At 42.2% G+C, this 22,876-nt stretch overlaps 3 annotated features.

Annotated features, from left to right (window-relative positions):
• Nucleotides 2,997-4,196: an enhancer, noted in NCBI's record as "BRD4-independent group 4 enhancer chr6:52577613-52578812 (GRCh37/hg19 assembly coordinates)". NCBI's record gives its function as "activates an origin of replication core promoter dependent on BRD2, P300/CBP, MED14 and CDK7 cofactors, and independent of BRD4, by STARR-seq in HCT116 cells {active_cell/tissue: HCT116}" and the evidence as "EXISTENCE:reporter gene assay evidence [ECO:0000049][PMID:35650434]".
• Nucleotides 12,625-12,739: a silencer, noted in NCBI's record as "fragment chr6:52587241-52587355 (GRCh37/hg19 assembly coordinates)". NCBI's record gives its function as "represses an EF-1alpha promoter that drives an FKBP-Casp9 reporter gene in an ReSE screen in HepG2 liver carcinoma cells {active_cell/tissue: HepG2}" and the evidence as "EXISTENCE:reporter gene assay evidence [ECO:0000049][PMID:32094911]".
• Nucleotides 14,788-14,837: a silencer, noted in NCBI's record as "silent region_17286". NCBI's record gives its function as "represses an Ori minimal core promoter by ATAC-STARR-seq in GM12878 lymphoblastoid cells {active_cell/tissue: GM12878}" and the evidence as "EXISTENCE:reporter gene assay evidence [ECO:0000049][PMID:35858748]".

Here is a 22,876-nt window from a genome sequence, read left to right on the forward strand (position 1 = left end):
CTGCATTCCCAGATGGTTAAGGCATTCTAAGTCACAGGAAGAGATAGGAGGTTGGTACAAAGTACTGGTCATAAAGCCCTTGCTGATAAAACATATTGCAGTAAAGAAGCTGGCTAAAACCCACCAAAACCAAAATGGCGACGAGAGTGACCTCTGGTCGTCCTCACTGCTATACTCCCACCGGCACCATGATAGTTTGTAAATGCCATGGCAATGCCAGGAAGTTACCCTATATGGTCTAAAAAGGGGAGGCATGAATAATCCACCCCTTGTTTAGCATATCATCAAAAACTAACCATAAAAATGGGCAACCAGCAGCCCTCAGGGTGCTCTGCTTATGGAGTAGTCATTCTTTAGTCCTTTACTTTCTTAATAAACTTGCTTTCACTTTACTCTATGGACTCGCCCTGAATTCTTTCTTGTGTGAGATCCAAATACCCTCTTGGGACCCCTTTCCTGTAACAATGCCACTGCACTCTAGCCTGGGTTACAGAGTGAGATCCTGTCTCAAAAAAAAGGGAGTGTCTTTATGGTATGAATGAGAGCTGATTTATTTTGCAGCATAGCAGCTGGCTCATTTTTAAAACAAGCACTTCTACACATTAACAGCTCACAAAATTAACGAAGAAAAAAAGTGAGGCTGAAAATATTACTATTTTGGAAGACAGAATGAAAAAAAGTTGACCTAGGCCTATCTGCTGCCTATTAGAATCATCTGAGGGGCTTAAAACACACACACACACACAGAACCTTGGCCTCCCATACACACAACCTCAGCCCTACCCCAGAAATTAACCCCTCGGCTCCACGTTCCAGCAATTGATCTGGAACAGCACCCTGATATCAGTGTCTTCTAAAATCTTCCCAGGTGATATTAACATGCAGCCATGATTGAGAACCATGGAGCTGGACAATGATGAACAACAGCTGCTAAAACTACTAATAGAGAGCTTGACAGTGGAAAGATCAGGTTGACAACACTAAACATTGAGCATCATTAAAAGGGGGATAACTAGACATGAGGGTCCCTCTGATGTGACACAATGGAAAGTATGCAGTATTGCCTGCAAAGAACTCTTGCCAACATAGTTAACTTGGAATTCAGTCAAACTTCTAGATACCGGTTTATAGAAAATACAGAAAACAAAGACACACTTCAGGGATGCATAGTAAAATCAGCAAAATTTGTAGGTAGAACTCAGCTGGCTTACTATTCACAATGGTCTGCAGATAAGCAAGGTAAGGATCACCTGAGAGGTTGTTTGAAATGCAGCACCTTAGCTGCCACCCAGACCTGCAGAATCTGAGTCTATATTTAATGAATTTATACGCATGTTTTTTTGAGAAGTGCTGTTCTCTGGGCCTAGTGACCAATACGTTTCAAAGGACTTTCTGCTTTTATATTTACATAATAAGTTTTTAAAAATTGAACGGAAAACAAAGAAGGAGGAGGAGGCTGTAGATTAAAGAGATTTAAGACATATTTCAAACAAATGCAAAATGAAGACATTTTTTATATTCTGATTCCAACATGATGACTATGAAAATATATAGACAAATGCTCCTCAACTTACAATGAGGTTATGTTACTGGAAAGGGGTTCAGATCCAGACCCCAAGAGAGGGTTCTTGGATCTTGCACAAGAAAGAATTCAGGGCAAGTCCACAGAGTAAAGTGAAAGCAAGTTTATTAAGAAAGTAAAGGAATAAAAGAATGGCTACTCCATAGACAGAGCAACCTGAGGGCTGCTGGTTGCCCATTTTATGGTTATTTCTTGATGATATGCTAAACGAGGGGTGGATTATTCATGTCTCCCCTTTTTAGACCATATAGGGTGAACAAAGAGGTGAGCATTCTCAGAGGTCTTCTGAGATCTAAAGAACAGGTAGGTGAGAGGCTGCCAGGCTCAGAGCAGCAAGGAAGATATGCCTCTGACAGAGAAGGTCTAGACATCTGAGATTGTGGCCTATCTCAACCAGATAGGGCTAGGCAGAGCGGCAAACTATGATGGCTAATTGTACATGTCCACTCAACTGGGCTAAGAGATGCTCAGATAGCTGGTAAGATAATATTTCTGGGTGTTTCTGTGAGGATGTCTCTGGAAGAGATTAGCATTTGAATCAGAAGACTGAGTAAGGAAAATTACCCCCACCAATTTGGGCCAGCATCATCCAATCAACTGAGGGCCCAAATAGAACAGAGGGGTAGAGGAAGGATGAATTTGCTCTTTTTGCCTGAGCTGAAACATCCATCTTCTTCTGACTTCAGACATCAATGCTCCTGTTTTTCAGGCTTTGGTACTTACACCATTTAGTCTCCTGATTCTCAGGCCTTAGTACTTGGACTGAATTACACCACCAGCTTCCCTGGTTCTCTAGCCTGCAGATGGTGGATCTTGGAACTTCTCAGCCTCCATAACTGCGTGAGCCAATTCCTGTAATACATCTCCAGTTATATGTGTATATGTATCCTGTTTGTTCTGTTTCTCTGGAGAACTCTGACTAATATACGAGCCATTGGATGGCATACAGAGCTGGGAACTGCTCTTCCTGTCTGTGGGAGGAGTTCATGGAGCTGTAGGTAGCTACAGCAGGACAAGAATGGGAGCTTTTGGGGTGCCTGTCAGGAAGAGGGGTAAATACAAGGGACCTCTGTGAGGTGAAGCTATAGCCAGAGAAATAGTATTGGGTTTGTGTTGTTGTCAACCAATTGTAGCCCATGCTGAATGGCCTGAAAAATACTGATTACATGTTAGAGGCCTATCCTTCCCACCTCCCCCCATGCCTAGAATAGAAGCATCTCAATGACCATGTTCTTTGGGATTTTTTCAGTTTCTAGAAATGCCTGGCTCACTGGAGGTTCTCCGTGGTTGAATGCTGTGTTTTCAGTTGGGTGAGTGAATAATGAACAATGTTGTTAATAACAAGGACTGTTTGGATAATAGATTTCATCAAACTTCCTGAGACCAGGGGTCTCCCTATGTAAGGAAAGAAGGGAGAAAAATAGGAGACATTAATAAAATGTGTCATTCACTCATTCAACAACAATTTGCTGTGTGCCACCAGGAACCAATGCTAGGCACTAGAGGTACAATAATAATCAAAACCAGAGTGATCCTTGCTCTCATGAAGTTGACAGCCTGGTGGCCTACTGTGTATCAGTCTGCAGTCACAAAATTGTATGATAACCAGGACCAGGGACTGGCCCCCCACAGAACTCTACCTATCTCTGTTCCTCATCTCTGCTCCTCTCTGTTCATTTCCTTGTACGTGGCAAGTGTACATTGGAAGCTCCTAAGTTTTACATATTAGAGCTACAGCAATTGGAGAGAGAACTTGTTGCATCTCTTGACCCCAATTCCAAAAATGCAGGACAAGTAGCTGATCACCTTAGCTGGGATCTAGAGCCTACTCCTTAGATACCCATTGCCTGTGAAGAGAGGGAGGAATAGTGTTGTAGTGGAACATTGCAATTCCTGCGAGAACTCCTAGGATGGCAAGGGAAGAGGCATAGTTACCAGTTATTTCTTTTTCAGGGAGGTGTGGACACAAGGGGAATCCTGGACAACATAACAAGTACCCTCTGCAGAGATGGAGAGAAAACATGGTGGGGTAGGCTACAGTGGCACACTGTGTCAGCTGGGGAAGAAAGGCTGAGAGGCACTGTGCCCTGAGGCTTCCAGAGGGCCATGGGCAGGCAGGGCCTTGTGCTTCCGGGCAAGTGTGTTGAGAAGTTCAACAGACAGATCTGGGTTTGAATCCTACCTGGCTCTTTATTTGCTAAGAAGTTGCTTCACCTTTGAACTTCACTTTCTCCATCTGGGAAATAGAAATGGTCATACTTACCACCATGGGATTAATGTGAGCATTCAAAGGAAGAATATTCTCAAAGGACCGATCAAGTGACAGGCAAAGAGTAAGCACCCAATATCTGCCAGCTGTTGTTCTGATTTAGGACAAAGTCTTCTCTCCAGGGATGTTTACGTCCCAAAATGATTACTTCTCCTGGTTGATAATTATGCTGGACCAGATGATTGCATTTATGAACATTCTAGAAGGTGGGTCAACCTTGATGATGTTCTGATAAAGACCCTGGGTTGGAGAGATCCTGTAGTGAGTCAGTCTGGGCATTGAGGAAATAAGTTCTTACATTTTTGCCCACATGAATGTCTTTGAGGTGCCCCCAGCCAAATGGAGACTTTTCAGGAAATTTACTAAGATCCATAGTACATGTTACCTAATGTCTTTCTCATAACAGATATGGTTTACTGAGTATTTGTTATGTAGAAGACACTGGACCAAGTAGACAACTTTGGAACCCCCGCCCTGTCCACAATGATGCCCCTTCTCTGAGAACTGCTCTGCCTGTCCCACCTCCTGCATAGGGGTGATGGGCTCCTGCCAGTCATAATTGTGATATATAAACCATACCCCAGCCAAGGTGGGCTTTCCAGGTCCATTGAGTCACCAATTGAAACCAAGTCCATCTTCATCCTAGGAAGTTGGCACTGAGTCTTCGAGCAGCTGCATGTGTGACTGGAACTGAAGCACAAAAGCTCAGCGACTGTGGGACAGACATATTGTGTCACATGAAGAGAGGAACAATTGATAAACAGAGTAAAACAAAACTAGTGGACAGGGAGAGGTGAGGAGATTGAAAGAGGGCACCAAGAAATGTAATTGCAGTGCATCATTGCATTAAACTGGGAAGAGCCTTATGAATCAACTCTTCCTTGGATCTGGAAAGCATGTTGTTCATTATCTGCCAGCACCTATAAAAGAGAAATGAGTAGAACCTGCTCATTCATCAGTTGAATTGCTGTGCTACTTTCTCCAAGGTTCCTTTACAAGCCTAGTACTTACTCCCTAAACAGTGTTTGACAAAAGTGGGTGTGCACACCATCTGAATTGATTCCCTCCCCGCCACCTGCCACTGCAGAGTTCTTATAGTCCCAGCATGCTCCAAACCCTGAGAATAGCTAAATTATGATAGTTATATTGCTTTTCATATCAGCCTTCTAATAATCTTTTTCTTTTCCTTTTTTTCTTTTCTTTTTTTTTTTTTTTTTGAGACAAAATTTTGCTCTGTCACCCAGGCTGGAATGCAGTGGTACGACTTCGGCTCACTGCAATCTCAGTCTCCTAGGATCAAGCGATTCTCATACGTCAGCCTCCCGAGTAGCTGGGATTACAGGCATGCGCCACCACGCCCAGCTAATTTTTTGTATTTTTAGTAGAGATGGGGTTTCGCCATTTTGGCCAAGCTGGTCTCGACCTCCTGACCTCAAGTGATCTGACCACCTTGGCCTCCCAAAGTGCTGGGATTACAGGCATGAGCTACCACACCCAGCCTTTTTCTATTTAAAGGATAAAAACCTATCCCTTTTTGTAGGAAACACAAAAAACACTTCACTCACATATAACATGTCACACATACCCTTGCAGTGGGAGAATGTCTAGAGGCAACCAAGGATTCCATCCACTGGAGCCCCACGCTATTCATCACATTTCCATCTACCCATTGTCTCTCCAAGTTAATTCTCCCAGTTAATAACTGATATTGTACAGATTGTTAAAATTGATTCTAAGCAATGTCCACTCTGGAAAGGAAATGTGTTATATATGGAGAAAGAGATGAATCAGTTTGCAAATTCCCAACTCATCGAGTATCAGATAAATGAAAATGCTGAGACTTTGGAGTTGCAAAAGCCTGGATTTTGAGCCTCAAAATGTGCAAAATATATTCCATGTTCTGATTATCTATTGCTGCATAAAACATTACACCAAAATTCAGTAGCTTAAAACAGTCATTTAAATTTGCTCACAATTTCGTGGTTTGGGAATTGGGAAGGGCTCGGCTGAGTGATTCTTGCCTCAGGTCTTTCATGAAGTGTCAGTCAGATGTTGACTGGAACAGGAACCAACCGAAGGCTTGTGTGTGCTGAGCATCTGAGAGGCTTCCTCATAGGCTGGCAATGGATGCTGCCTTTTGGCTAAGAGCTCAGCTGGAGCTCTTGACTAAAGTACTCATCTGTGGCCTCTGGACATTGCTTGGGCTTCTCACAGCCATGGTGGCTGGGTCCTGGAGGAAGCATGTGGAGAGTGAGTGTTTAGAGACCAAAGCAGAAACTGCAAGACTTCTTCTGATCTAGCTTCAAAAGTCACACGGTGGTATTGTCATCATACTGTTGGTACTGTTGGTTTTAAGTAAGTCACCAAGGTCAGCCCAGACCCAAGGGGAGGGAATTATACCCCACCTCTCTTTAGGAGAAAGGCCAAAGAATTTACTGCTATTTCCAATCAGCAAGTGCCAAAAACAAATGATTTAGAAGAATTGGTGAACAGTGTAGCTACCCTCTGGAAATGAGGTAGAGGAAGAGAGTTACAGGGGGAAGAAAGAGACTGTAGACACTCAAGTTGATAGGAAACCCTTCTCTTTTCTCACATCAGACTCATCAAATTTTGGAGGAGGCAGATAAGACATGCCAGGCTCCCAGTACAGTTTAGGGTATCTGAGACCATGGGAAACATTGTATTACTTCTTGAAAACTCAGATGACTCACTAGCATTAAGTAGAAATGCCTGGGTGCTGTGCCTAGGCTGATAGGCTTGAGACAGCCTCAGAGCTCTCCTTGTTCCAGCAATGTACAGTTCCAAATGAAACAGACCTGGTGGTGTTAATGAAGTGGGTATTGCAGTCATCTGCAAAGACTATCACCTAGAGACTAGATGGGAATGAGAATGTCTTGGCAGGCTCCTGTGTGGACAGATGTCTGTTGAGGACAGGATAGGAACTTAGATGGAACCCTAGAAAAAATTGAGCATGTGTGTTGGGGAAGAGACCCAACAGATTTAGTTGGGTTAAATTTGGTTTATGTTACCTGATGAAATGGGACTCAAAATAGAAATTAAACTCAGTTTTAGAAATATATTTGTGAACTGACTCATCTCTCTCTCCACATAGAACACAATGTTTCGCTTTCAGAGTGGACATTGCTTAGAATCAATTTTAATAATCTGTAAAATATCAATTAAAAAAAGAAAATAAGCCACACAACAAATGCATTTATATCATAGGGAGCAGAGGGAATATTGTCTTGTTTTGTATTCAAAAGTCTGTTCTTCACAACAAAACTCAGTTTTAGAAATATACAGTCTTGCACACTTGAATTTGTGAACCAATTCGTCTCTCTTTCCATTTATAACACAATGTTTCCTTTCCAGAGTGGACATTGCTTATAATCAATTTTAACAATCTGTACAATATCAATTATAAAAAAAAGTAAGCTGCACAACAAATGCATTTATATTACAAGGAGCAGAGGGAATATTATCTTGTTTTGTATTAAAAAGTCTGTTCTTCACAACGATATCTGAGGCTCTGAGAGATCTGAGTTTTAGAATCCCAGAAAGATGGCCTGAATAAGATTTATTCTGAAAAAGCAAGACTGACAATGTTTGAAGCTTTTCTAAATCTTAAATTCTAAATCCAAGTGTCTAGCTTTATTGCCTGGATTAAATATTTCAAGTCAAAATGTCCTGACTTTTAGGGGCTTTTATTGAGTGTTTCTCTCCTAAAATAAAATGAAGCTAGGTTATGAGTGGGTCATCTTCAAAAAGATGTATTATCATTCTGATAATTTGAAGAACATACAATTATATAAAAGTACAAATCAAAACTAAGTAATTTATATGAAACGACTTCAATTAACCATGTAACCAAAAAAGAGCTACAAAGAATTCAAATAAGCTAAGTGCAACGTCTCAGGCCTGTAATCCCAGCACTTTGGGAGACCAATGCGGGCAGATCACTTGAGCCCAGGACTTTGACACCAGCCTGGCCAACATGGTGAAACCCTGTCTCTACAGAAAAAATACAAAAATTGGCCAGGTGTGGTGGTGAGTGCCAGTAGTCCCAGCTACTAGGGAGGCTGAGGTGGATCACTTGAGCACAGGAGGATCTCTTACGGCAGAGGCTGCAGTAAGCCATAATCACACCACTGTACTCTAGCCTGAGTGTCAGAGTGAGACCCTATCCACTCCCCCCCAAAAAAATTCAAATAAACTCAAAATGAAAGTTTGAAACATGAGAAACAGACTGCTAATTTATTTAGAAATATATTTTTCATAGTGTGTGTTCATATGTCTATTATTCTAAAAATTATTTATACATCTAGAATAGAATGGCAAATCTCTAGCCTATTCATTCAAATTAGTATCTATTATTGATTTGAGGTGAGAGAATAATGAGAGTATTTAGCTATAACTGAATAAATCAGGTTAATTCATTTTAAATCATTTTAGTTGTGATTTTGGCTTTAATGTAAGCTCTCGCTTTATTTTAAGCTTAGGATAAATTGAAAATAATTCTCAGTATCTGTGACTTAAGTTTTAAGCATATAGTAAGCACATTCTAGAATATTTCCTGCATTTTTAACAACTGAACTTTTTGCTTGAGAGAAAGTGGTGACTTCCTCAGTCAAATGGCATCAAACAGAGCTCCAAGCAATCGGTATTAATAGAATATCATCTTGCACCAGCTTTCTCTAGCTCTTTCTTTCCTTTTGTAACTACTTCCAAATCTATCTTTTATTTGAGGGAAATTATTAAAAAAAAGACTCAATAGACTATGAACATCAATCATTTCCCTCTACCTATTTGCAAAAAAGGAGAGATGAGAAGTAATTACTCTGCATTTACCTTGTTCTAACCAGAAGAACTTTAGCAAGCAGGCAAAGCTGCTAAGTAGGTAATTTCACAGCTTTCAAGTGTGCCTCTAAAATAAAAAATCAAAGGCAATAATTCCATCTTTAACAGGTGTAAGAATAAAAGGAATTAAATAGACCAGTAATTACATGCCTTTTAAAATTATGTTTATCCTCAGCCTAGGATTCTGGAAATGTATCATCAGTCATCTTGGCATTATGCCTCCATTCTGCTTTCTACTCAAACTGGCTTTTAGTAATGAGGATTCTTGGGCAATTTCAGAGGAAGAATAAAGACTTTCCATTACATTAAAAAGTCAATCCAGTAAGCTAGCACACAGTACAAGCTCATGGTTCCTTGAATATTGAATACATATTTTCTGGTTTATAGAAAATCTTTATATCCTGCTTGTGATATAAAGTGGGATTTTTTTGCTCCCATGAAGATGGTGCCTCGGCACATACTGGTCTCACTTAGAAAGGTCTGCACTTCACTCTCCTTGCAGGACATTGCTTGGCACTAGTTACTAAATTGTTACCAACAGTGGAAAATAAAGCTTTGTAAAATAATCGGAGATAGCTAGATAAGCAAACAAGTTAGTTTATTTAAACTGTATTGAAAAAAAATTAAGCAAAATCAATTCTTTTTGTAAGAAGTCCCAATGACATGTTACATATTAATCCAATGTTTTAAAATTGTGAATCTTAAATCATGGAACTTCATAATTCAGTGCAATTCAGCCCTTAAACATTTGGTACACGTTTTCTTCATGTATGTGTATGTGTGTGGACCATATGTTTAAGTTCAAACAGGCATCCTTATACTGGAAGCTTCATTTTAAGAAAACTTAACATAAAAATACTAACTTATAAAACATGATATTAGAGGCAATTAACCACATTCACAGGTCTGCTTTTAGTTTTGAAATGATTTGGTGAGTTTAAGGGGGATGCTCTTGGAGTATATTTAAATTGTTCTGTTAAAATGTTTCGATTGACATTTACCTTCTCTGTGAGCTGTATCTGGCAAATAGCAGTCTCAGTTATAGTTATGAGTTAGTAGCTGCCCTGTTTGTGTCAGCATAATTCATTTATTTTAGAAATTTTACCAACATTCTTATTGCTATGGTCTGAATGTTTGTGTCCCCCTAAAATTCATATGTTGAAACCTAATCTCCAAGGTGATGCCATTAAGAAGTGGGGCCTTTGGGAGGTGCCTAGGTCATGAGGACAGAGCCTCATGAATGGAATTAGTGCCTTTAGGGCCATTATAAATGAGGCCCAAGGGAGTTTGCTGGCCCCTTCTACCATGTGAGGACTCAGTAAGAAGGCACTGTCTGATATGGTTTGGCTCTGTGTCCTCACCCAAATCTCATCTTGAATTGTAATCCCCATGTGTCAAGGGAGGGAAGTGATCTGATCATGGGAACAGTTTCCCCCATGCTATTCTCATGATAGTGAGTGAGTTCTCACGATATCTGATGGTTTTATGTGTTTGGTATTTCCTCCGCTTGCACTTCTGTCTCCTGCCACCATGTGAAGAAGGGCCTTGCTTCCCTTTTGCCTTCTGCTGTAATTGTAAGTTTCCTGAGGCCTCCCCAGCCTTGTGAAACTGTGAGTCAATTAAACCTCTTTCCTATATAAATTACCCAGTCTTGGGCAGTATTTTTATAGTGGTGTGAGAACGGACTAATACACCGTCTACGAAGAAACAGGCCCTCACCAGACACCTGCCTGAGCCTTGACCTCGGACTTCTCAGCATCCAGAACTGTGAGAAATTAATTTCTGTTGTTTATAAACACCTCAGTTTACGGCATTTTATTCCAGCCACTGAATGGACTAAGACACTTATCCACTAGACTCCAGAAAAGTAATTTAATTTAGTTTGGCAAATCCACACACTATGACTGATTTTCAGTTTTATCTTCATTCTTTTTTTGGTACAGAAGCAGATGGATTTTTCCTCATAAGTTTCAGTTATGCTTTCAAATAGCTGTAGTGTGGAACCATACCTCCCAAAATACTGTGTCTTCTGGGCAAAATCTGCATGGAAGAGGGCCAGCCTTTGGATTCCCATTTCACCTAGAATAAAATCCATACTCCTTGACGGGACTTACAGCAGTGAGTCATCTACCACCTCCCACCCCCCTCCTCAAGCCACACCTCTGCCCTCTACTCTTCAGCCAAGCTCCAGGGGCTTGGGGTACACAGAGACACTGAGTACTTTCTCTCTTCAAACCTGTGAAAATGCTGGTTCCTTTGCCCCAAAACCTCCCTTCCATCTCTTTGCATACTTAGTTTTCTCTCAATTTTTATGTTTCCCTCACCATCCATCTAAAGTAAAGCTCTCCCCAACTACTCTCTATTATAGTCTGATATGGTTTAGCTCTGTCCCCACCCAAATCTTAAATTGTAGCTCCCATAATTCCCACATGTTGTGGGAAGGACCCGCTGGGAGATAACTGAATCACGGGAGCATTTTTCTCATACTGTTCTCGTGGTAGTGAATACGTCTCACGAAATCTGATGGTTTTATAAAGGGAAACCCCTTTCACTTGGTTCCCATTCTCTCTTGACTGCTGCAGCGTAAGACATGCCTTTAGCCTTCCTCCCTGATTGTGAGGCCTTCCCAGGCATGTGGAACTGTGAGTCTATTAAACCTTTTTCCTCTATAAATTATCCAGGCTTGGGTGTGTCTTTTAATTAGCAGCCTGAGAACAGTCTAATACATAGTCCCTGCTTAATTTTCTTCACATCCCAATCATAGGCTATAATTATTGAGATATTTATCACTCTTTCTTTTTTGTTTGTAGTCTGTCTCCTCCCACTACAATGTGAATTCCTTGAGGTCAAAGGCCTTTGTCCCATCTTGTTCAGCACTGTATCTCTGTCCTAGTGCAACATTTTATAGATTAGAACTAAAAAAATTATTTGCTGAATCAATGGATAAATGGAAAAGGCTCTTGCTAGTGATTCTGAAGACCTGGGTTCTAGGCTGATTCTACCATTGATCAGCTTTGTGTCCTTAGATAAATCTCAACCTCTCTGAACCCCAGTGCTTTCATCTGTAAACTAAAGGGGAGAACTAGAGGTGTTGAGTTTTGATGCTTGATTCTTCCTTCTTTGTTTCCTTACAATACCAGAACAACCAGTATTGAGGGCAACCTTAGAAGAAAGCATGCATGGGTCTTGAGGTAGAACAATAGGCTGAGGATGTATAATAACAGAATTTTAACCAGCTTCAGTGCATCCTCATCTCAGATGCATGAGTCCTGGCTTTCACCTACAATACGTAATAGCCACCTTCCTACTGTGTGAGAGCTGCTTCTCCACCACTACTGCCATCCTCTTCCATATCTTCCCCAATATTAGAATGACAAAACTATCACTTGAGGACGTGGGAGCAGCATGGAAAGAAACACAGATCTACAAAGACCCCTTGTTGGAATGTCCAGTATTTGTGAAGGTGTCATGATGGAGAAGAAGTTGATACAGACTGGCAGAGAGCAGTGGGGAGAACATTTCAAGATAAGGAGTGGAGTGCAATGAGTGGAATAGTGGTCATGCCATTCTGGAGGCACATCCAAGTTGCCCTGCTAAATACTGTGTTCACTACCCAATGTCAGCCTCGGTAATCTTTTCATAGCTTTCTTCACAGGACTGTGCTATGGAGGCAGGAGGGCTGTCCTTAATAACTTGTTATTTATTTCAAGAAAATCCTGGCCTTTTGACATGAAGCAGGACTGGGTGGGATCCATGTGACAACATGTTGGCAAAGAAGATATATAAATCATGAAACTAAGAAAAAATGAGCCACAGGAAAATCTGAGCACTAGTGCTTGGTGAAGGGTGGGAGACTGCGGCAGAAAGTTGCTGATGGAAAGGGAGCTTGGCCTGGTATTTGCAGTATAAAAGTTAAAGATAGACTGAGAAAAGACCTTGAAACTCATAGAACTAAGATGATTAGTTCATTGATTAAGAAATTAAAATTTGGCCGGGCGTGGTGGCTCATGCTTACAATCCCAGTACTTTGGGAGGCTGAGGCTGGAGGATCACGAGGTCAGGAGATCGAGACCATCCTGGCTAACACGGTGAAACCCCGTCTCTACTAAAAATACAAAAAATTAGCCGGGCGTGGTAGCGGGCGCCTGTAGTCCCAGGTACCCGGGAGGCTGAGGCAGGAGAGTGGCGAGAACCTGGGAGGCGGAGCTTGCAGTGAGCCGAGATTGTGCCACTGCACTCCAGCCTGGGCGACAGAGCGAGACTCCATCTCAAAGGAAAAAAAAAAAAGAATTTAAAATTCAAGACTTTGAGAGAGGAAGTAGAGCTAGAATGCAGACTACTCAAGTTTTGGACGTGAAAAGAAAGAAGGAAATAGCAAAAGGGAAAACTAGCCAAGGATAAAGAACTTTAAAAATTTGTTGTGGAGTGTTTCTTGGTTTCTTCTGAGGAGTGTGGGTGCATGGCTAAGAAGGTTAGGACAGTGGAGGCCTGGGCCTGTTTCTAAGCAGAAGGAAGCCTTCCAAAGGACAGAGGCAGCTGAAGAGACCAGCTGGAGAGCAGAAGGATTGTACAGCTTGCTTATGTACATAATAGATTTGTGATTGTTTATTTGCATCTATTGGTTTTATTACTGTATTAGGGGATATAATTGATACTTTAAAATATATGTGTATTTTATATAATGTATTATATGCAATATATTATATATATATGAAATATTGAGACCAGCCTGGCCAACATGGCAAAACCCCATCTCTACTAAAAATACAAAAAATTAGCTGGGCGTGGTGGTGGGCGCCTGTAATCCCAGCTACTTGGGAGGCTGAGGCAGGAGAATCACTTGAACCTGGGAGAAGGAGGTTGCAGTGAGCTGAGATCAGGCCACTGCACTCCAGTCTGGGCGACAAGAGCGAGACACTGTCTCAAAAAAAAAACAAAGTGTACAGAGTTAAGTGTACAACTGGATAAGTTTTTCAGTTTTGTTTTTGTTTTTGAGACGAGACTCGCTCTGTTGCCTCCAGGCTGGAATGCAGTGGTGTGACCTCAGCTCACTACAACCTCCACCTCCTGAGTCCAAGTGATTCTCATGCCTCAGCCTCCCAAGTAGCTGGGACTACAGGAGTGTGCCACCACACCCAGCTAATTTTTGTATTTTTAGTAGAAATGGGGTTTTACCATGTTGGCCAGGCTGGTCTTGAACTCCTGGCCTCAAGTGATCCGTCTGCTTTGGCTTCCCAAAGTGCTAGGATTACAGGAGTGAGCCACCACACCCAGCCTCAATTGGATAAGTTTTAACACACATATACACCTATGAGACTATCATCATAATCATGATACTGAACTTATTCACATCCTCATGCCCTTTGGAAATCCCTTTCTTCTGCCTGGCCCCATACCACTCATCTGCTTTTTGTCACAATGAGTTAGTTTGCATTTTCTAGAAGTTTATATAATTAGAAGCATACAGCAGGTATTTTGTTTGTTTGGTGTCTTTCACACAGCACAATTATTTCAAAATTCATCTGTGCTTTTTTATGTATTCATTCCTTTTTTTATTGCAAAGTAGTTGAATTCTTTTCCTGTGGCCACTCTAACAAATTACCACAAACTAGGTGGCTTAGACAGCAGAAATTATTCTTGCACATGTCTAGAGGCTAGAAGTCCAGAATCCAGAGGTCAGCAAAGCTGGTTCTTTCTGGAAGCTCTAAGGGAGAATCTGTTCCCAGCCTCTCTCTTGGTTTCTGGTGGCTGCCAGCAATCTTTGGTGTTTCTTGGCTTGTAGCTGCATCGTTAGATTCTGCGTCATAGAAATGGACAGTGGAAAAGGAAATACAGAGAGACTCATGGATTAAGGTGAAGAGGATGAGGGAATAAGAAAGACAAAATGGAATAAATTGGAAGGGGTTAAAAGGAAGTGAGGAGAACTTTGCACCTCTGCCTTTCAGTCAGCATTTTTTAGTTGTTCTTTTGGCAATTTACTCCAACTTGGATTTAAAATTTATGAGAAAAAAAGTCTCTGTTCCAGCAAAGGGATTGCCCAACCTACTGTGTCAGTCTAACGCTGACTCCATGACTGAGCACCAGATGGCGCACTGCCCAGAGCCAAGGGACCTCCCTGGTGGCTGTAAAGAGTTCAGTGCACAGACTCAGCCACTCTTAGGTGACTTTCCACAATTGCAAATGAAACTGAGCTCAGCCTACTCAACCTTCCCTTCCTCTTTTAGATCACTGAGAAAGTCTACTGTCCCAACCATATGCCCTTTTTCGGAGCAAAATTTCTCAAAACGGCTGCCGGTAGCTGCTGTCTCCTCTACCTCACGTCCCATTTTCTCCTCAACCCACTCCAGTCAGGCTTGTGTCCCCATCTTCTCTCCTCGGGTCAGCAGTAGCCTCCGTGGTACCAAATTCAATGTCCACTCTTCCATCCTCTTGCCGGACTGTTGGCCTCATGATGCCACACTTTCTTGGACTTCCTTCTACTTCACTGACCCCTCCTCTTCAGACGCCTTCGCTGGCTCCACCCAGCCTTCTCTTCTCCAACTGCTATCTCCCCCGAGGCGATGTCCTCAGCCCTTCTCTATCATCAGAGGTGTAACTTCCAATACTAGGTCATAAAAGACATTGTAGTTTCCCTCTTGCTTACATACTCCAGGGGAAGTTAGCTGCCATGTCCTGAGGACACTCAAGCAGTCCTACACAGAAGCAGGCATGCCAAAGAAGTGAGATGTATTGCCAACTTTCAGAGAGGAACTGAGGCCTCTGCCAACAGCCATGTGAGTGAGCCATCATGGAAACAGATCCCAGTCAAGCCCTCAGCTGACACAGCCTGTTAGTGACTTGATTGCAGCGTCCTGAGAAATGCTGATTCAGAACCACCCGGCTAAGCTGCTCCCAGATTCCTGACCTTCAGAAATTGTGTGAGATAATAAATATTTATTGCTTTAAGTCCCTAAACTTCGGGGTGAGTTGGTATATAACAATTGATAACTAATACACCCATGCTGGCCTCATCTTTCAATACTTCCTCGCCTTGCTCCCACAACACTAGTGTACCTAAAACACACCCAACTTGTTCCTGACCAACACCCTGTCTCATTGTTCCCTCTGACTAAGACCCTCGCTCACTGGATCTTCTGGTTCCTGTCATTCAGGACTTAGTCTTTCCTGGCATTCTCTGTGCCTAAAACAATTCAGGGAACAAAGTAGGTGCTCTATAAACTTTTATTGAATAGAACTATGAATAAAATACTTTAAACAGTATTTATTGGAACCATAATCCTTGAGAAGATTTTGTCAATTTCTGAGGTTAAAGTCTAATTTTTCTGCTAGGTATACTTAGCTGCCCTGTTGACTTAGAATGTTGCAACTGTATTCAAAGTTTCAAAGGACAAATATATTGAAACAGCTGCTGTGTGCAGAGGGAAGGTGAGTAAAGATTGGAGAAAGGTAGGAGGCAAGGCAGAGCAAAGTCAACACAGATTAAATTTGTGCTGACTCACAGCTGCCTCATCTAAGCAGCTCTAATTGGCAGAATGTTGCTAAAACATATTTGTTCTTCAAGAATATCCCAGAAAACTGGCAAGTCAGTATACCTAATGGCTCAAATATTGACCCAATTCCCCCAGTGCAGAGAAATTAATATCCACTTCAGTTATACACACACACACACACATATATATATAAACTCACTATTAAAATGGCGGATGGTGTAAGTATTAAATACCAAATGTTAATTACTTCTTAACAAAAATCTTCATACTTTTATGTCACAGACTACCCAGGAGTGATAGTCAGAATGTTTAACATCTGGTATGGTAAATATAATATATAAATCTGTATATATACCCAAAATTAAAAATAAATTTCCCTTTATTTTCTAGCTATGCTAAACTATATATAGCATAAAATGGATAACACTTTATAGCAAATCAGTAATAAATTATTGTCATAATGTCCAGTCATTTATAAACTGACCGTGTCTTCAGGGCTACTTAGGTTGACAGTGGATCTCTCTCTATGAAAGCCATCAGCTCCTGTTGGTGCAGACTTTTCCTGCAGCTGTGACTCTCAGTGTTTTCCTAGATCCCTGAACTGCTTTCTGCTCTTGTCTCAATGAAGGCCAGGGAAAGGAGAGCCCCAGAGTGCTTCATCATCCGTTGTAGTAGTTTAACCCTTCCCCAGTTTGTAAATAGGTGATATGGTTTGGCTGTGTCCCCACCGAATTCTCAGCTTGACTTGTAGTTCTCATAATCCGCATGTGTCATGGGAGGGACCATGTGGAGATAATTGGATCATGGGGGCAGTTTCCCCCATTCTGTTATGATAGTGAGTTAGTTCTCACAAGACCTGATGGTTTTATAAGGGGCTTCCCCATTCTCTGGGCATTCATTCTCTCCCTTGCTGCCCGTAAAGAGGTGCCTTCTACCGTGATTGTAAGTTTCCTGAGGCCTGTCCAGCCATGTGAAACTGTGAGTCAATTAAACCTCTTTCCTTTATAAATTACCTAGTCTTGGGTATTTCTTCGTAGCAGCATGAGGTCAGACTAATACAATAGGTATTTCATTAAACTTTCTTCAGCCACTCTTTTTGTTTGTTTGGTTGGTTTTTTTTGAGATGGAGTCTCGCTCTGTCACCCACGCTGGAGTGCAGTGGCACAATCTTGGTTCATTGCAACCTCCACCTCCTGGCTCAAGCGATTCTCTTGCCTCCGCCTCCAGAATAGCTGAGACTAGAGGTGTGCGGCACCATGCCGGGTAATTTTTGTATTTTTAGTAGAGACAGGGTTTTGCCTCGTTGGTCAGGCTGATCTCAAACTCCTAACCTCAACTTATTCACTCGCCTCAGCCTCCCAAAGTGCTGGGATTACAGGCATGAGCGACTGCACCTGGCCTCTTCAGCCACTCTTTTTGAGTGGTCATTTTGCCACCTGCAGGAACTTCTTTAATACAAATTTACATATTGACTCGTAATTCTTTATATGCAAATCTTTTTCCTTGGGGTTAATTATGCACCCCTCAAAGGCTAGGATTATTATACCTTATTCATCTTGTATTCCCAGCAGCAACCATTGTGAGGTAAATCTTACAAGGTTCACTTCAGGATGATAATAATAATAATAAATTATAAAATATCTCTTGTAAACTGGGGAAGGCTGGGTATGATCAGGTTGAAAACTCTATTGCAGAGTGAGAGTATAAGAGTCTACCGTTGGGATATTTATCTGCTGAAGAGGGAGCAGGTAAATGTGCAAAGGGAACTGGGAAACTCTTAGGAAGATATCTTGGAATATCTTGGTTGGTCTGAATTGACCTAACCCTCAGTAGACGTAGAAGACATGAGCCATGAGTCCCATGTCTCTGTCTGTCCTAACACACCTAATTGTGGCAAAGCTCACATTATGAAAATGTGCAATCGGGACCAGTGCCCTGGGTCTAACCCCCTAGATCTTAGATTTTCTGGGGAAGCATAAGTTATGGGCTTAGTACATGGCTGAAGCTAGAAATTGCTCCATCCTCATCTCTCCTGGACAGTGGCATGCCAGAGAAAAATGACTCTATATATCCACCTACATTTTGAGATCCCAGGCCTGAGGGATAGCAGGGAGGGAGACTTCCTCTTTCTTCTTGTGAAGGGACAGAGAATGAAGATTCTGGGACTCATGTGGACAAATTGTGGCCAGTGTTTCAACCAAACCGCCTCAGATCATGAAGTCTATGGGACAACAGGAACTCCATGTGGCAGATAGCAGCAGAGACTGATAGAATTTTCTACTGGTGTCAGGGCTACTTGACTCCTTGAATGGAATAAGCCCCTAGGTTGTTGGATTTAATGTGGGTATTAATTAATTAGGAGGCCAGTAGGCTGAGATGTCCCCAGTGCCTTGAGTCTTATGTAAGCAAGCTAAAGCTCAACTCAGCATGAAGGTCATATCCTAGGAAAACAAGAAACTTAAACTTAACCTATCAGAAACTGCCAACTAACTTCTAACTAGTGACTTTTCACCTTAACCAAGCAAATATTTTCTTTGTTTTGCTTCCATAAACACGTTATCAAAGTTCTCCCCTCACACCCCCTCCATGAAGTCCAAATTGCTTGTGGTTTGGCACTGCCCGATTCATGAATGTCTGTCTGCTCAAAATAAACTCTTTAAAATTTTAATGTGCCTACGTTTATCTTTTAACATAGGAAAGAGACTCCCAGAGGGAAAGAATGTTCTTGCTATTCTGAGATGGATGCTTAAGTGACTGAAAATGAATATTTAAAAGCTGTGATTTTATTTTATTGATGCCAGTTTGGCAAAGCAAGTTGTATACTTCCACAGCTCCCTCTTTTCTCAGGACAAAATTCAAACTTCTTGTCATGGCCTTCAAAGTCCTTAGGCCTGCGGGCCTTGTTCCCGGATCCTACCTCATCATCACTCCTGCTACCTCGTGCTTTAATGCTTCACTCAGACTGTCTTCTCTTTCTTTGAATACACCTTGCTCAGTCTCTCTCTTTTACACCATTAACCGTGCTGAGCCTCCATCAGGATTCCACCCCTGCTGCCCAACTATAGCTCTACCTCATAACTGCAACTCGTCTTGCCTGCAAATCTCAAGTCAGATATGACTGCCCTCCCTGAGAATCCACCTCTGACCCATGGAGTCCAGCTGAGGTGGCCTGACCAGGTGCACCCCCAGCATTATCTCATCCCTTAGCATGGAGTTGTGAGTTAAATTTTGTTCCCCAAGAAGAGTATGTTGAGTATGTTCAAGTCCTAACCCCAGATACAAATAAGGTCTCTGGAGGTGTAATCTAGTTAAGATGAAGTCACACTGGATAAGGGTGGCTCCCAATCCAATTCCTGATGTCCTTATAAGGAGATCATTTCTTATTACTACTTATTTTTTCATCCCACCAAACTGAAGGCTGGACTACCCCAAAAGTGGCAGAGGTGAATTCCCACAATTTCATTCTGAGGTGGGCCAGTTGGGATTCCAAAGAAAGAAGCACTAAATGCTAAGTTGATCAGTCCACTGCATTTACTAGGGGAACTTACAGTACTGCAGCAGTCCTCATGACAGATGAAAGAAAAGGCATGTTCTACCTAGAAAAGTCCGCAGTGAGGGGGTCAGGGTATGGAATCCATGTGAAACTTTAAGGAGTTTGGCTCAGAACCAGGACCAGTTTCTTTTTGTATTTGGAGCAACAACCTAGATATCTTTATCAGTGTCTGCAAATGTTCAAGGCCCTGGTTTAGCTTTAAGCCTGCTGGGAAAAACCTGCAGCTGGTTGGGTCATGGAGTGGCCAAGGCACTCTGATTTGCAGTCAGGACACAGAAAGAAAGCAAGGGAACTGGAGGACCCTACAGTCTACCTCTCTGACTGGCTCTTACAATTTCACAGGGCCACCTTTTTTGTGATGTTTCCTAAGCAGGCAGAAAAGGGTGGGATCTCCTATAAGGTCCTTTGCCCCTAAGTTTATGAAACACTGCCAACAAAACCTACACCAACAGTAAATACAGATGCACATGACAAGACCTAAAATCACCAATTCCCAAAAGCCTTACTAAGAGAGCTTTCCACCAAGGACTGCATCCCCCAGACCATGATATAGACCACTAGGAGTCAACCACCCTGTGGCCAATTAGCTGTAATTGCTTTTGTAAATGAGAGAGGAATTTATTAACTTCAGCTTCTTTAGGATGCATACGCAACATTCAGTTTTTAAAAGGGCACAGGTTCTGTGGTCAGTAAAGAACGTCATGTTCTAACAGGTCTGGAAGCTCTGAGTTTATCTTGGGACTTCAAGTGGAGAGGATCACCCAACTCACAGGTATTTGAGGACACAAACCCATGACTGGGTTCGGCTTTAAAAGTCTTATCTCTTGGGAGGCCAAGGTGGGCGGATCATGAGGTCAGGAGATCGAGACCATCCTGGCTAACACGGTGAAACCCTGTCTCTACTAAAAATACAAAAAATTAGCCAGGCTTAGTGGTGGGCACCTGTAGTCCCAGCTACTTGGGTGGCTGAGGCAGGAGAATGGCGTGAACCCGGGAGGTGGAGGTTACAGTGAGTGGAGATCGTGCCACTGCACTCCAGCCTGGGTGACAGAGCAAGACTCCGTCTTAAAAAAAAAAAAAAAAAAAAAAAAAAGTCTTATCTGAAATTCCTTGTGGAACAGAATTTCATCAAAGCCAATCCAAAAGGCCTATGTAGAAATAACCATTCTTGCTGCACTTTATGCAAATCATTATGCCAAGTAGGAGACTAAAAGTTTATTCTACGAACAACACATACGGTCCTATCATAATTTGTTTTTACCAAAAATGAGGACTGGAGAGAAAAATTGTACTCCAAAGCTTATCATACATTTGTCATTAAATCCTAGTCTCATTAATTTTTTTAAGCCTTTTTCCTGCATTTTAGACTAACCCTGCTTATTCCTGTCAATCAAGTGGTGATTTCCTGCAGCTTGGAAGAAAGAAAAAGGGATGGGTAATGTAAAAAATCTGGATTAATATGCTAGTTCTGGGCAATTATCCTGCAAATTCTGCCAGGAAATGAAAGAGGAGGGTGCCCATAACCCAGAGGCTTCTTTGGGAAAATAAAACCAAGGAACTTCATAGACCCCCAAAGGGAAATTCTATATCTTGGATTAACACCTCTAGTAAAGTAGAGGACGATCTACAGGCACTTAAAGATCAAATCAAAATCATTGACAGGCTCAGGGAAAATGCAGGCTTCAGCCCTAGGTGGCTACAATCCCTCTTTAATGAATTCCAGTCTTCTTTACGGAATTGGTTAACCCCTTTATTAAGCCCTCTCTTGCTTATATGTCTCGTATTGATATTTGGACCCTGTATACTCAATACTGTAACTCGAATTTTTTCTTCTTGCCTGGGGGCAATCAAACTCCAAATGGTGCTGCAAACTGAACCACACATGAACATGGCATTCTTCTGAGGACTCTTAGATAGACCCCAGGAGGAGCCCTAGCTGCTGTTCCTTACTCGACACCCCTTTTCAGCAGGAAGTAGCCAGAAAGAGTCATCGCCCAAAACCCCCTAACAGCAGTTAGTGTGACATCTCCACAGAGGGGCATGTTGTAGGAGTTATTAAGAAATTATTTTAGGCAGATAGAAAGGAAAAGGGGTCCTTGAGAAGTGTTTATTTTTAAAGCTGCTCTGGAAATGTTTCTGGTAAAGCCCCGGCAGAGCCAGGCAGGCAACCTTTGATATGCAAATGCAGGCCATTAGAAACTAGGTCCGCTCAAACATGGCAATTCCTGCCTTCTTCTTGCCCTTGCCCCGCCATGTGCCTAGCAGCAAGGTCGCCCCCACATATCCCCATGTGTGTAGAACATTGTGGTGGTGCCCTGTATTTGCATATGAAAAGGCTAGGGTGGGAGGGCCAGCTTTTTCCGCAGGCTACGTGAATGACATGCCTGGTCAAAGCAATCCCCTGAGCCCTGTGCAAATCAGACACCACCTCCTCCAGCCTACTCATAAAACTGGCTGGTATCCATAGCACTTGGGGCCTCCTCTTTCAGCTTTGGAGACCGCCTCCCTCTGTCTCTGTACAGGGGAGCCTCTTCCTTCTGCCTTCTCTTTTCTTTCTTGCCTGTTAAACTCTCTGCTCCTTAAAACCAAAAAAAAAAAAAAAAAAAAAAAAAAAGGCACAGATGCCTCCTTGCACAGCTGTTAACATGTCTAGAGCTACTCCCCTCTGTAGACCACTTTCCTCATTGCAGCTGTCTCAATGTTCAAGGCCTCCTAACCACTCTCAGTGTCATTCAAAGCTATGGAGACAAATCTTTGAAGGGTTTCCATCTTCTGCATGATATCAGTAGAGCCTCTTGGAGGCACAAGAGGTACAGTCAATAAGTAATACCATAAAGAAAAAATAGACCTATTCCATTGAACCTTCCAGATGGGCTGACTGAGGGGGACGGGGATGGTGTGAATCTGGAGTGCAGCTATGGGAAGCCAAGGGTACACCATCCAAGCCATCCCCGGGGGAAGCCAGGACCAAAAGTGAGTAGCACAGAGCCACTGGGAGCCATTTGGGGCAATTCAATATATTCCCGGCCTACAAGACCAGTCTGTAACAGACCAATCAGTGTCTCTAAGTGTGAAGATCTGTTGGCATTGAGCAGTTGGGAGGAACACTAGGTACCTGGTGTCAT

Source organism: Homo sapiens, chromosome 6, assembly GCF_000001405.40.
Source record: "Homo sapiens chromosome 6, GRCh38.p14 Primary Assembly".
NCBI classification, from domain to species: Eukaryota; Metazoa; Chordata; class Mammalia; order Primates; family Hominidae; genus Homo; species Homo sapiens.